Source organism: Homo sapiens, chromosome 6 (genome assembly GCF_000001405.40).
Source record: "Homo sapiens chromosome 6, GRCh38.p14 Primary Assembly".
Taxonomy (NCBI): domain Eukaryota; kingdom Metazoa; phylum Chordata; class Mammalia; order Primates; family Hominidae; genus Homo; species Homo sapiens.
The window spans coordinates 27,136,759-27,149,617 of record NC_000006.12 but is presented as its reverse complement, the minus strand read 5'-3'; the positions used below and the strand labels follow the sequence as shown (position 1 = coordinate 27,149,617).

The following is a 12,859-nucleotide window of genomic DNA, read 5'->3' as shown; positions in this document are numbered from 1 at the left end:
AAGAAAAAGAAAAAAAGTCAAAGAGCAATACCAGCTATGCACTTATGCATGCTAAAGTCAGTCTCACAGATACTATCATAGACCTTACTTAACATTGATATTTATATTCATGTTAATATATGTCATAGACATGGAAATACACTGCCCAGATCCTCCTTCAAGGAAGGGCTTGCAGCCCAACTGCAGAGAGCACAGTTAGCAGATAGACACCAGCTGTTAGCTTCCTCAGTGTTTGCCTCAGCTGCAGAGCTCCTCCCCACTCAAGGCTGCATCCTTCCCCGGGCAGTCCTCATTCAGTGACCCACAGAGGAGTTAAAAAGGGTGGTCTAGAGCCCCTTTGGCCCAATGTGGGGGCAACTTGACAGGCATACTGGCTCCAGAGCTCTCCACTGGGTTGGTTGAGCATTTGTCTGGCCTGTATCATAGTTTGACATTTTCCTTTGCCCAATCCTATTTCCTTCACCCCTTCACAGATATTGAGCCCTAATAAACATTTTGCATCCCAAACTCCATCTCAGCATCTGTTTATCGAGAACTCATATGTCACTACATTATAATTTCTCGTTCTGCATCTCTTGCATTTCTTTTTCAATTGGGCTTCTGCATGCAAAGACTGGGAGTAGCAAACAAATCTATGTGTATTGAATTACAAACTATGTCCTCTTAAATCTTTGTGAAATACATAAAGTTAATACTATTTTTTGGTGTCTTTTTTAAGTGGCTTGAATTCCGTAGAGAAAAAATAAAGATGTATACATGTAATATTTCAATTAATATATATCCTATCCCCATAGGCATAGAGAGCGTAATGGGGCCCTCCATTTTAGAGAGGAGATAAACAAAGATGACCTCTTTATAGGTGTTACTTGATCAGAGACCTACATAGATTGAAAAAAAGTGAGAAAGGTAGTTATCAGGGGAAGAGGGAATTTAAAGTGCAAAGGCCTTAAGACAGAAAATGTGTTTGGCATTTTGTGGGAATAGCCAGAAAGCCTTGAGGCTATGAAGTAAAAGCAGGCCAAGTAATATCAAGAGGGGGTGGGGCGGAGGAAGGAAACTCATAGGGCTTCCTAGGGTAGGTAAATTAATGTGGACAAGCAATCAAAAGCAATAGCAATCCCGATCTAATAAATTTGATAATACAAATTAGCTAGACAGAAAAAGCTATGTTGTATCCTAAGCTACTACAAGAGTGCATTAATACACCTGCTCCAAAGAAATGGGACTAAGGATTTACAAATATGGGATTCAGGAAATTCTGCATCCCATATTCTCCTTCCATCGGAATCAAATTCTAATGCAAATGAGTCACTAGACTTTCATCACCTGGGTAAAGTTACTCTTAAGAGTTAGACCACTTAAGAATCAGGCTGCCCTTTCTTGCTTTTCAAGAATACTTAGAATTGCAAAATTTGCCTTTAAAGAATGGCAAGTATATCCCATTTTTATGGCTGTTTGACAACACTATTAATGTAATAGAATTATTACACTGGAGGCCGGGCGCTGTGGCTCACGCCTGTAATCCCAGCACTTTGGGAGGCCGAGGCGGGCGGATCACCTGAGGTCAGGAGTTCGAGACCAGCCTGGCCACCATGGTGGAACCCCGTCTCCACTAAAAATACAAAAAAACTAGCCGGTCGTGGTGGTGTGTGCCTGTAATCCCAGCTATTCGGGAGGCCGAGACAGGAGAATCGCTTGAACCTGGGAGGTGGAGGTTGCAGTGAGCCGAGATCGCGCCGCGCCACTGCACTCCAGCCTGTTGGAGACTCCATCTCAAAAAAAAAAAAAAAAAAAAAAAAACCACTGGAATTAGTAAATAGATTTCAGGGATTTGTACGTTTGATTTCACTTATTACCCCTGCTGAATAAGCTTCTCCGGAGTATCCTACAACAACTTTTGGGTCTTCATTGCTTTCCAGTGGGTTAATTTAGAAACATTGTAAAGAGTTGCTCCAGCCCAACCGCGAAAGAAGCGCTTTACAATGTTATCTAGCGAAGCAAACATGAAGTGAAACAAACATGACTGTGTCCAGCTTTCTCTAAGACAGTGTAGAATGGCTCTGAAAAGAGCCTTTGTTTTCCAGTTTTCACAACCTCGCTCCTTATTTGGCCTTATGGTGGCTCTCAGTCTTCTTAGGCAGCAGCACGGCCTGGATATTGGGCAAGACACCACCCTGCGCGATGGTGACTTTGCCCAGCAGCTTGTTGAGCTCCTCGTCGTTGCGGATGGCCAGTTGGAGGTGACGCGGGATGATACGGGTCTTCTTGTTGTCGCGGGCCGCATTGCCAGCCAGCTCCAGGATCTCAGCGGTCAGGTACTCCAGCACCGCAGCCAGGTACACTGGCGCGCCGGCTCCAACCCGCTCGGCATAATTACCCTTGCGGAGCAGGCGGTGCACTCGGCCCACGGGGAACTGAAGCCCAGCCCGAGAAGAGCGGGTCTTGGCCTTGGCGCGAGCTTTACCGCCTTGCTTGCCACGTCCAGACATACTGGTCACAACTTACTGAAAGTAGCCAACGAGGAAAGGCAGCGCCTTTTATAAACACTATTGGGCGCGAAAAAGAAGATATGTCATTGGTTAGGGTTGTAGCTTAGTTTTAACCAATGGAAGTACGTCTTTTGGATTTGCAGATTGGGTTGATTGGGTATAACTAACCTCTGACGTCACCCTAATAACCACCAATCAGATACAGGACTTTCACTCTTCACCTTATTTGCATGAGAGGTCCTATATAAAAACGACTCCTGGTACCTTGCTCCCATTACTTCCCGTTTTCTCGATCTGCTGCTCGTCTCAGGCTCGTAGTTCGCCTTCAACATGCCGGAACCAGCGAAGTCCGCTCCCGCGCCCAAGAAGGGCTCGAAGAAAGCCGTGACTAAGGCGCAGAAGAAGGACGGCAAGAAGCGCAAGCGCAGCCGCAAGGAGAGCTACTCCGTATACGTGTACAAGGTGCTGAAGCAGGTCCACCCCGACACCGGCATCTCCTCTAAGGCCATGGGAATCATGAACTCCTTCGTCAACGACATCTTCGAACGCATCGCGGGTGAGGCTTCCCGCCTGGCGCATTACAACAAGCGCTCGACCATCACCTCCAGGGAGATCCAGACGGCCGTGCGCCTGCTGCTGCCCGGGGAGTTGGCCAAGCACGCCGTGTCCGAGGGCACCAAGGCCGTCACCAAGTACACCAGCGCTAAGTAAACTTGCCAAGTAAGCGTCTTAAAGCCCAACCCCAAAGGCTCTTTTAAGAGCCACTTAAATTATCGATATTAGAGCTGTAAACACGTGTTCCTAATCCAGGCTTAAATTCGGGCGATCTTTTTAAAGGGATTATCATGATCTTATCACACTGAGTAATGCATGCAGTGCTTGTAATCGAGTCTGGCTAAGGAGAAGCCACATACACTTTGTTAGTACTGAGTGAGGAATATGGCGCCTAAAAAATTAGGGATGTGCAGGAAACTTGTGTTAACAGAAAGTGCTTCCTGGCTCTTGGCGCGAAAATGGATACTTCCGTTGTGTCGAGTGCTGTGACTTCCTGTTAGAACTTGTTGAAAGCCTATTGTGTCACGTGTACTTTCCACCATGTAATGGCGTTCTAACGTGAGTTTATATATTAGTAAATTTGGTTCCCGATGGCGTTCCAGTACGTATGGCTTTCGCTCGAGCAGTTACCTTATTTAACCTCTTCTAGGCTGTACCCAGCTCTGCCTTGCTTTGCTTCCCCCTCACCCCCTGATTCCATCTCTGCAGCCCACGGGACATCGGGAAGATGCCAGACCACCAGGCAGGATAGTCTGCAAGGGTAAGGGGAGGAGCACAGCTTTTCTCAGGAGTGAAGAAACGGAACATGAAATCATCACGGAGATTTTTGGAATAGTTTACTAGTTTTTAAGGCATGTTCAGCGTCAATTGGTCCAATCAGTAATTTTTCCTTTTGACAAGAAAGCTTATAGAAAAGGAAAATGAAAAGCAAGTAGATTCAGAGGGGAGACAACAGACAGACTAGAGACAGTCCGCCCCGAAGCAAGAAGTTGGAGTAGAGGAGAAGGGAACTTCCCCAGCAGCACAGGGTTTGAGCTAAGTGTTAGGTGGTGGGTTAGAATTAGGTGGTGGGTTTTATTGTGTGATTAGAGGCTAGAATGACTATGCCGGTGATGAGCAGTGTGAAACTTTTTTGGAAGAACCAAGTGAAAGAAAGAGTCCACGAATTTTAAGCTAGGTTGTTACCTGGCTAAATTTGTGATTTAGAAATGTAGGCCAGTTTCACAGGGGAATTTTGTGTGTGTGTGTGTGTGTGTGTGTGTGTGTGTGTGTGTGTGTATTTAACATATTTGGCCACGCATTGTTCTAGTCTTTGGGGATATTGCCCGCCCTTAGGCATTTGGAGATTAGCAGGGTCATATTGAAAAACTTCATACATGCAAAGCATATGTTCACTGTTGATCCAAGTCTTATTTATCCTACCAGTAATTTTGGGGTTACATTAATATTCTAAGAAATGTATCAACAAATAATTATATTTATTGTTTACCTATATAGGAGGCACTGATCTATATCTATACCTATATAGGAGGGCAGATCACTTGAAGTCAGGAATTCAAAACCAGCATGGCTAACATAGTGTGAAACCCCGTCTCTACTAACAGTACAAAAATTAGGGGGGGCGTGGTAGCATGTGCCCGTAGTCCCAGCTACTCGGGAGGCTGAGGCAGAATTGCTGGAAGCCAGGAGGCAAAGGTTGCAGTGAGCCTAGATCACCTCACTGCACTCCAGCCTGGGCAACAGAGCAAAACTCCGTCGCAAATAAAATTAAAAAATAAACTAAAATACACTATGCCAATGAATTCTACCTTCAGGTATACCTGACTACTTTTTATAGACTAAAATTTTTACTCTGGAGCTATCTGCTGTTATTACCTTTAGACTTACAAACTATTTTTGCAAATGGACATATCATCTTGATTTTATACAATTTACTTTCAGTCCTTTTTGCTCTTTTTACAAAATTCTGGAAGTGCATTTGTGTTTTAATAGAAATACTGGGTGGAAGTGGCCATAACTTTCTCCTGCTTTCACCCTCACCCCTTTTCTCCCTTCAAAATGATCTCATTTTATTTCTCTTGATAGCACAGATTCCGCCCCCCCCCCCCCCCCCAGACAGAGTCTCACTCTGTTGCCCAGGCTGGAGTGCAACGGCGAGATCTTGGCTCACTGCAACCTCCGCCTCCCAGGTTCAAGCGATTATCTTGCCTCAGTTTCCCGAATGACTGGTATTACAAGTGCCTGCCACCATGCCCAGCTAATTTTTGTATTTTTAGTAGAGATGGGGTTTCAACATGTTGGCCAGGCTGGTCTGGAACTCCCGACCTTGGGCGATCCACCTGCCTCGGCCTCCTAAAGTGCTAGGATTACAGGTGTGAGCCACCACGCCCGGCTGATAGCACAGAATTTAACAGCTTGAAGGAATCAAAAAGTTCAGATCACTGTTATTTTACAAATAGCTAAATGGATGCAAAGCTTACTTTGCTCAAATCATTAGACTCAGAACAAGATTCCATTATGCTCTTGTTTGTTTCCATTATACCATATATCTCTTTGTCATCTATTTTCTCATTAGCCACGTGTATTAATTTGACTTAATTTGGAGCAAAAATAGGGCTCTTTTAACTTATTTATTTGTATATTTCATAATCTCTTTTAAATTGTTAAAAAGTTGAATGTGCTAAATTGTCTCCTGTCTCATAAATTTTTTTTTTTTTTTTTTTTTTTAAAGAGTAGTTCAGTGCTTTGCAATAATTGCTGTGTGATTCTGGACCACAGCAATTCAATCTAGCAATTGTTACAGCCTGCTGAAGAACGCTTGCACAGAATAATTGCCTGCTTCAGATTCTCCCATCCTTTGGGAAACTGAGAGTAGCTCTGGGATTGAAAAGTGGAGGTTTATTTAACTGTGGTTAGGGACTTGGCAATCATATGTTTGGTCTCTGCTGTTATCTAGTATCTTTAAGTCTAGAAGTTGGAAGTAAAGAGGTCAGTGGACCTAAGAAAATGGCATGGCTTTCTACCCTAGATGAGCTGGAAAAACTTAGTAATTCTTCAAGTGCTTAATACAAAGGAGCAAATCTCACAACTCAATGCCTATGAATTGTAATATATCATGTCACTACTTTCTTGATATTACCTGAGGTATAAGTACAGTTGGGAGAAGACCTTATCTCTATCTTCAGGAATATAAGTGAAGGAAAGGAAATTTTTTTCTTTTTTTTGAGACAGTCTTACTCTGTCGCCAAGGCTGGAGTGCAGTGGCACTGTGTCAGCTCACTGCAACCTCTGTCTCCTTTGTTCAAGCAATTATCCTGCCTCAGCCTCCTGAGTAGCTGGGATTACAGGTGCCCACCACCATGCCTGGCTAGTTTTTATATTTTTAGTAGAGATGGGATTTCACCATGTTGGCCAGGCTGGTCCTGAACTCCTGACTTAAGGTGATCCACCTGCCTTGGCCTCCCAAAGTGCTGGCGTGAACCGGGCCAGTGAGCCACCGCACTGGGCCTGGGAAATTTGTTCATTTGCTTTATCCTACTTTCTCATTCTTTATTGAACTAGGATTTTTTTGTCTTTATTGTATGTGTCTGAAAGCCAGTTTGTTACTCTTAAGACACTACTCAAATAGAAATATAATGTGGCCACGTGCGATGGCTCATGCCTGTAATCCCAGCACTTTGGGAGGCCGAGGTGGGTGGATCACAAGATCAGGAGTTTGAGACCTGCCTGGCCAGTATGGTGAAACCCCGTCTCTGCTAAAAATACAAAAATTAGTTGGGCATGGTTTCACATGAGTGTAGTCCCAGCTGCTTGGGAGGCTGAGGCAGGAGAATGGCTTGAACCCGGGAGGCTGAGGTTGCAGTGAGCCAAAATTGTGCCACTGCACTCGAACCTGGGCGACAGAGCGAGACTGTCTCAAAAAAAAAAAAAAAAAAAAGGAGGGGGGGAATGTAATACGTCATACATGTACTTATCTTTCCAGTAACCATTTTTAAAAGTTAAAAAAAATTGTCTGGGCACAGTGGCTCAAGCCTGTAATCCCGGCACTTTGGGAGGCCGAGGCAGGCGGATGACCTGAGGTCAGGAGTTCAAGACCAGCCTGGCCAACATGTCTCTACTTAAAATACAAAAAAATTAGCCTGGCGTGGTAGTACGCACCTGTAATCCCAGCTACTTGGGAGGCGGAGGCAGGAGAATTGCTTGAACCCGGGAGGCGGAGGTTGCAGTGAGCCGAGATCACACCATTGTACTCCAGCCTGGGGGACGAAAGCGAGAGTTCGTCTCCAAAAAAAAAGTTAAAAAAGTTAATTTTAATAGTGTATCCTATTTGACAGAATATATCAAAAATATAGTTTCAGCATATAGTCAATACAGAATGTATTAAATATCTTGTATTCTTTTTTCATTTCAAATCTTCAAAATCTGGTGTGTATTTTACACTTTTATGGTATATCAAAATAAATTTTCGTGGGGAATTCTTGATCTGTAATTAGAATAAGATGATTCTGATTCATGTCCCTAAGGTGTTCCAAGTATACTTGAATGCTATCTAATTGAATCCAGCACCAGTTTTTAAAAGTAAACTAATTAAGATATAATTAAACACTTACTCCCTCAGTCACATGCCACATTGTAAGTGCTCAAACTCCATGCATGGCTAGTGCTATACCATAAGACACTCAATGAGCAGAACTTGACCTAAAACCCACTAGGGCACTATGCAAAGGATTACAATTCCTTCTGGCATCACCACCTACTACGGTTTTTCCTAAGGGAGTGTTTAATCCATTGGGCTTGGAACATGAAAAATGACAGGGAAGGACGTGTTACATTGCTGCAGATTTAACAATAACATAACTATATAGACACAAAATAAAAACGACTTTCTCAGGCCCACAAACTGACACATGAAAATAATTCATTCCAATTGGGATTAAGTGACAAGCAGGTTTTGCATCTGTCCTGACACATTTCCCCAAATTCTTCATTATAGGACTAGCACCACTACTACTCTCTGTGATGGCTTATCTATCTACTAAGAGAGTGTGATTAAGAATATTACAGGTTTGAGTGAGTGTATGTTCGGGGCAATTTGAATCTATGCTCCTGGAATAATAAAAATTAAAGAAAGACAAGTTTGGGTCATAAAATCTAACATTTGTGAATTGGTTATTTGATTTGGCCTCTTTTGCCATTTTAAAATAAGAGTAATAAAATCTATCTCACAAGAATATGAGATACGAGATAATCCATGTAAAGCACTTAACAATTTTCAACAAACTTTCAGTGTATCTTAGGCATTACTTTCCTCTTTCACCCTTTCTTTTGTCCCTTTTGTAATACTTTGAAAATTTTAGGTATTGTTAATCATTGCTTATTTAGAAAGTAAGATCAATCTTTTATCAGGTCTTCCCTTAGCTCGCTCTTGATGCTACTCTTACAGCGATTTCAGAAAAGCCTTACTATCCAATTCAAGCCAAATCAGGACATAAGCCGCCTAAATGTTTTTTGTTTTTTTTTTTTCCCCCAGATTGATGCCTGTAGCTCCTGGGGAAAGTGGAAGTCAGATAACTCCTTTATGAAAAGGCAGCATTCAAAAACTATAAAAAATATAAATCCAACATTATTAAAATTTTGCACATCCAAAGATATCACGAACAGTTAAAAACAAACCCACAAGGTGACAGAATATATTTGTCACATACTGACAAAAAGTTAAAACTCAAATATATAAAGAATATTTACAAATCAAATCTCATAAAATAAAAACTGTAGAGAATCTGAATAGACCATTCCGAGGAAAGCGGGAAAATCTCCAAATAGCCAAAAATCTCATTTAGAAAAACTCCGATTTCACATTAGGAAATGCTGATAAACAATAACTCTCAAGCACTGCTGGTGGAATATGGGAGTATAAATTTAAAATACTACCCTGGAAAGCAAATTGTTCATTTTTATTCATGTTGAATATGCACATTTACCAAATAATTCCACTTCCATGTAACCAGAAAATGCACAGCTGTATACAGTGCTGTTTTGTAATGAGGAAAAAAAATCAACAGAGAAATGAATAAAGTATTTACTGACACATTAGAAAACTAGATTAATGGTAAAAATAACCTAGAACTGCACATTTCAACACGGATATATTTCAAGAGCAAATGTAAAAATTCATGACGATTAAAATAGATTAGGGGTATGTGCATCTAAAGTTAAAACGCGTGGGAACAGTAAACAAATTTAGAATATCAGTTTATCCTAGAATATTAGTTAATTCTAGATAGGAAAAAGGGAGGGCTGTGCTACTGAGAAAGGGACATAAGGATTTTAGATGCACTTGAATAAGTGGTGTGGTCACCAGCGCATTTTGTATACTTGATATATTCCAGTATTTAAAAGGCAAACATATAAAGGAATATTATTACTAAGACTCTTAAGACTGCCCTACTGTTCTACAGTAGTAAAAGCATGGTCTGTCCCCCTCCCCCCCATGCAGAGCTCTGTGCCCGCCAAGTCCTCTTAAACCAGCCACCACGAAGTTTTCCTGGAGGTTCTAGCATTTAGTGGAGCCCATCAAACTCATTATCTCCTGAGACGTATTTGAAGGTCCAGAGGGAAGTTAATTATCTAGCCCGCCCCTATTTGGACCGCAGACCCCTTGGCTTTCTAAACTAATCCGAGCGGTAAACCGGCTGCAGGCAATTTCCAGGCAGCCGCCAGAAGTTACTGGCCAGCAGAGGCTCTTCTGGCCTTGGAAAAATCTCGGCCCAAGGTCACCTGTAGTCATCAGCCCATTTTCGGCGTCGAGTTAATCTTGTAAAATAGGATGACAGAACTCACTGACAATGGCCCTATTAAGAGACTCAGTTTGCAGTCATTTCAACTCTTTTGTTGAAAGCTTAGGGGCCCTAAAAAGGGCCTTTTTAGAGAATGACTGGGCTTCAAAATGCCATTTAGCCGCCGAAGCCATAGAGGGTGCGGCCCTGGCGCTTGAGCGCGTAGACCACGTCCATGGCGGTGACCGTCTTGCGCTTGGCGTGCTCCGTGTAGGTCACGGCGTCCCGGATCACGTTCTCCAGGAACACCTTCAACACTCCGCGGGTCTCCTCATAGATGAGGCCAGAAATGCGCTTCACGCCGCCGCGGCGAGCAAGGCGCCGAATGGCTGGCTTGGTGATACCCTGGATGTTGTCGCGCAGCACCTTGCGGTGGCGCTTGGCACCCCCTTTCCCCAGGCCCTTACCTCCTTTGCCGCGTCCTGACATTATCAAGTGGTCAGAGAACAAAGGTCTGCTGCCTGTGATGGCAGCTTTCTTTTATGGGTAACCTCTGCGGACCAGACTGAAAACCGGAAGAGCTTTGGCGGGAAGTCCCTCTGCATTGGGGGAGGGGACCTAAAAGGGAAACAGGCCTGCTGTGCTCTACTCCCTCTTGTTCTCCTTCAGTCCTTTTTAATCCTCAAGACCTAGGCTGTTTTTCCTTTTTTCATTTAACATGATTCCTGCCTCATAACAAAAATGTTAACATTATAGAAGATACATAAAGCAAAAAGAATGTTATCTCTGCATATATGCATGTTTTCCTTTAACATTATTTGTATGGAACTATGCTATTTTGTGGCATTTTTCTCCTTAATATACAATGGAAATATACTCCATATGCTAAATTCCTAGCAATAGAACAAGATAGACTCATAGAATTTAAAGATCGTTCAGGTATATTGCTAAGTTCTTTTCTACTTATTTTCATTTCTAGTGTTTGGGGTGGAGAATTATCCCCCCAAATATCGAGCTTGGTAATGGTGGGTGTTTTTGAAAATTGAGGGTTCTCAGAAACAAGTCTAAGAATCAAGGTCCCTCTAACTTTGTCCTGTTTCTCTTCCCCAAATACAGGGAGGGACTTTCTCTGGAATTTCCTGATATGACCAAGAAAGCTTCTTATCAAAAGAAGCACAATTGCCTTCGGTTACCTCATTATCTACTGCAGAAAAGAAGACGAGAATGCAACCATACCTAGATGGACTTTTCCACAAGCTAAAGCTGGCCTCTTGATCTCATTCAGATTCCAAAGAGAATCATTTACAAGTTAATTTCTGTCTCCTTGGTCCATTCCTTCTCTCTAATAATCATTTACTGTTCCTCAAAGAATTGTCTACATTACCCATCTCCTCTTTTGCCTCTGAGAAAGAGTATATAAGCTTCTGTACCCCACTGGGGGGTTGGGGTAATATTCTGTGGTCCTCAGCCCTGTACCTTAATAAATTTGTATGCCTTTTCTCTTATTAATCTTGTCAGTTGATTTTCAGTGAACTTTCAGAGGCCAAAAGGGAGGTTTTCTCTTGGCCCCTGCACCAGTAGCAGTTCCTGATATGCCTACAACCTTAACTAATGCTGGGTAGAACCATTTAAAGTAATCTAACTTTACTAATAAGGACTTGATTTCTTGTATATAGAAATAACTTTTCAAAAAGTTAATCAGTTGGTTAGTCAGCACAATACATTAACTATTTCCCCCACTGATTTGAGGAACTTATTATCATATACTGAATATATGAGCCACCGCACCCGGCCCATTTGGTGATTTTCTTGCTACTCTTTATTTTAATGAGTACCTTACAGCAGTGCTTGAAGTATTTTCAAAGTATTCCACTTAAATGTCATAAAGTAAATGAAGATAAACTTTTCATTAAAATACTTTAGAAATTTTTGCATTTATGTTGCAATAAAAGAAAACTTGCCATACACCTTTGGAAAACAAAAAAAAATTGATATGACTGGCTGTAACTTGCTGTAGCTGAATTCAGTATATGTTGTAAAGAGGGTAAGGTAGCATAGGTTAATTGAATACGTTAATCTAAGGGTAAATACAAATTAAAAATGAGAGGCTTAATTATCTGTTGAAAACAAAAGACTTCCCTTTCCTTTCCCATCACTTTCAAAATGTCTTTCTCTGTCCTTTTAAAATGTATGTAAATCCTTTTAATGGCTAAATAGGCCTTATAACTCAGAATATTTTCTCAATGCCTGGAGAGCCATCCCTTTGAAATGTTAATCATTAAAAAAGATAGTGGTCTGTCTCCCAGTTTCCAGCGAGAAAATGGGCTGAACTTTAGCTGTCACCTGACTTCGAATTGCAAAACCTATCCAATGTAGCCATACATAATAAGCAAGATTTCTTTCTGCTTTTGCAACCTCTTCATAAGGTTTCCTGTGATAAGCAACTCTCCCTGGTTTAATGCTTATTCAATAATAAAATTATTTCCTTTGTCTTCTTTGGGAGAAGATTTTAAAATTGTATTTCCCCAACATTAGTTAACAAGTATATTTCTCTACTTGAGCTTCTCACTAATCAGAAGCCTTTTTCTGTATCTGATTTCATGAGTTTTCGCATAGCAATTAGTGACAAGGATAGCAATGAATGGTAAAAGGTGGCAGAGCATGCCATCCCAAAATATGCCATTTTGGAATAAGAATTATTCTGAGATACAGGCAATTTTAAAAAGAGTAGGTACAAGAAAGGCACTTTGACCGTTCCCTTTTACCCCCTTAAAAGCAGGAATTAAAATTCCCCTGTGGAAGATGTCCTCCCTGTACCAAAAGGAAAAGAACATTTTCATCAAGGACAGGAAGTTGAAACCAAGAGAATTCTGTCCAAGCAGATCTTAAAATAATTCTTGTTTTCCTTTAGCCTTCCTACATAGTTACATTTCCACAATTTACTCCATTCAACCTACTATAAAAGCATTTAGGTTTTGCTACTTCTTTGGGGTCTATTATTAGAGCTCCCATGTCCCATGCCACATAAAATTTATATTA

General features: G+C 41.7%; 3 protein-coding genes and 1 non-coding gene across 6 annotated transcripts, besides 9 other annotated features; 1 reads left to right on the top strand and 3 right to left on the bottom strand.

Moving 5' to 3' along the window:
• Window positions 297–346: a silencer, noted in NCBI's record as "silent region_17019". NCBI's record gives its function as "represses an Ori minimal core promoter by ATAC-STARR-seq in GM12878 lymphoblastoid cells {active_cell/tissue: GM12878}" and the evidence as "EXISTENCE:reporter gene assay evidence [ECO:0000049][PMID:35858748]".
• Window positions 1,930–1,992, bottom strand: MIR3143 (microRNA 3143). The gene has a single exon (NR_036096.1). It is a non-coding gene; the product is annotated as a microRNA 3143 (primary transcript).
• H2AC12 (H2A clustered histone 12) lies at window positions 2,056–2,512 on the bottom strand. The gene has a single exon (NM_080596.3). The coding sequence runs from the start codon at window positions 2,487–2,489 to the stop codon at window positions 2,103–2,105; it is 387 nt and encodes a 128-aa protein (NP_542163.1). The 5' UTR covers window positions 2,490–2,512; the 3' UTR covers window positions 2,056–2,102.
• Window positions 2,126–2,375: an enhancer, noted in NCBI's record as "active region_24270". NCBI's record gives its function as "activates an Ori minimal core promoter by ATAC-STARR-seq in GM12878 lymphoblastoid cells {active_cell/tissue: GM12878}" and the evidence as "EXISTENCE:reporter gene assay evidence [ECO:0000049][PMID:35858748]".
• Window positions 2,420–3,336: an enhancer, noted in NCBI's record as "NANOG-H3K27ac-H3K4me1 hESC enhancer chr6:27114061-27114977 (GRCh37/hg19 assembly coordinates)". NCBI's record gives its function as "activates a minimal SCP1, AML or CMV promoter by ChIP-STARR-seq in naive H9 embryonic stem cells {active_cell/tissue: H9 hESC(naive)}" and the evidence as "EXISTENCE:reporter gene assay evidence [ECO:0000049][PMID:30033119]".
• Window positions 2,706–3,165: an enhancer, noted in NCBI's record as "active region_24269". NCBI's record gives its function as "activates an Ori minimal core promoter by ATAC-STARR-seq in GM12878 lymphoblastoid cells {active_cell/tissue: GM12878}" and the evidence as "EXISTENCE:reporter gene assay evidence [ECO:0000049][PMID:35858748]".
• H2BC12 (H2B clustered histone 12) lies at window positions 2,760–11,325 on the top strand. Of its 3 annotated transcripts, none has more exons than NM_080593.2 (2): window positions 2,760–3,209; window positions 10,937–11,325. In NM_080593.2, exon 1 carries the CDS (start codon window positions 2,820–2,822, stop codon window positions 3,198–3,200), a length of 381 nt encoding a protein of 126 aa, NP_542160.1. In that variant the 5' UTR covers window positions 2,760–2,819; the 3' UTR covers window positions 3,201–3,209; window positions 10,937–11,325. The 3 variants fall into 3 exon arrangements, 2 of the variants coding, with proteins under 2 accessions (NP_542160.1, NP_001299582.1); XR_007059350.1 differs by having other exon boundaries at window positions 2,763–3,645; NM_001312653.2 differs by lacking the exon at window positions 10,937–11,325 and having other exon boundaries at window positions 2,763–3,257.
• Window positions 3,756–3,865: an enhancer, noted in NCBI's record as "active region_24268". NCBI's record gives its function as "activates an Ori minimal core promoter by ATAC-STARR-seq in GM12878 lymphoblastoid cells {active_cell/tissue: GM12878}" and the evidence as "EXISTENCE:reporter gene assay evidence [ECO:0000049][PMID:35858748]".
• Window positions 9,196–9,787: an enhancer, noted in NCBI's record as "NANOG-H3K27ac-H3K4me1 hESC enhancer chr6:27107610-27108201 (GRCh37/hg19 assembly coordinates)". NCBI's record gives its function as "activates a minimal SCP1, AML or CMV promoter by ChIP-STARR-seq in naive H9 embryonic stem cells {active_cell/tissue: H9 hESC(naive)}" and the evidence as "EXISTENCE:reporter gene assay evidence [ECO:0000049][PMID:30033119]".
• Window positions 9,788–10,380: an enhancer, noted in NCBI's record as "NANOG-H3K27ac-H3K4me1 hESC enhancer chr6:27107017-27107609 (GRCh37/hg19 assembly coordinates)". NCBI's record gives its function as "activates a minimal SCP1, AML or CMV promoter by ChIP-STARR-seq in naive H9 embryonic stem cells {active_cell/tissue: H9 hESC(naive)}" and the evidence as "EXISTENCE:reporter gene assay evidence [ECO:0000049][PMID:30033119]".
• Window positions 9,788–10,522: a biological region, named in NCBI's record as "NANOG-H3K27ac-H3K4me1 hESC enhancer GRCh37_chr6:27107017-27107609".
• Window positions 9,940–10,336, bottom strand: H4C9 (H4 clustered histone 9). Its single transcript, NM_003495.3, has one exon. It carries the CDS (start codon window positions 10,307–10,309, stop codon window positions 9,998–10,000), a length of 312 nt encoding a protein of 103 aa, NP_003486.1. The 5' UTR covers window positions 10,310–10,336; the 3' UTR covers window positions 9,940–9,997.
• Window positions 10,143–10,522: an enhancer, noted in NCBI's record as "active region_24267". NCBI's record gives its function as "activates an Ori minimal core promoter by ATAC-STARR-seq in GM12878 lymphoblastoid cells {active_cell/tissue: GM12878}" and the evidence as "EXISTENCE:reporter gene assay evidence [ECO:0000049][PMID:35858748]".
• Window positions 11,326–12,859: the final 1,534 nt, after the last annotated feature.

Coding starts and splice junctions, on each gene's coding strand:
- H2AC12 (NM_080596.3), bottom strand. CDS start 2,489: ATGTCTGGACGTGGCAAGCAAGGCGGTAAAGCTCGCGCCAAGGCCAAG.
- H2BC12 (NM_080593.2), top strand. CDS start 2,820: ATGCCGGAACCAGCGAAGTCCGCTCCCGCGCCCAAGAAGGGCTCGAAG.
- H4C9 (NM_003495.3), bottom strand. CDS start 10,309: ATGTCAGGACGCGGCAAAGGAGGTAAGGGCCTGGGGAAAGGGGGTGCC.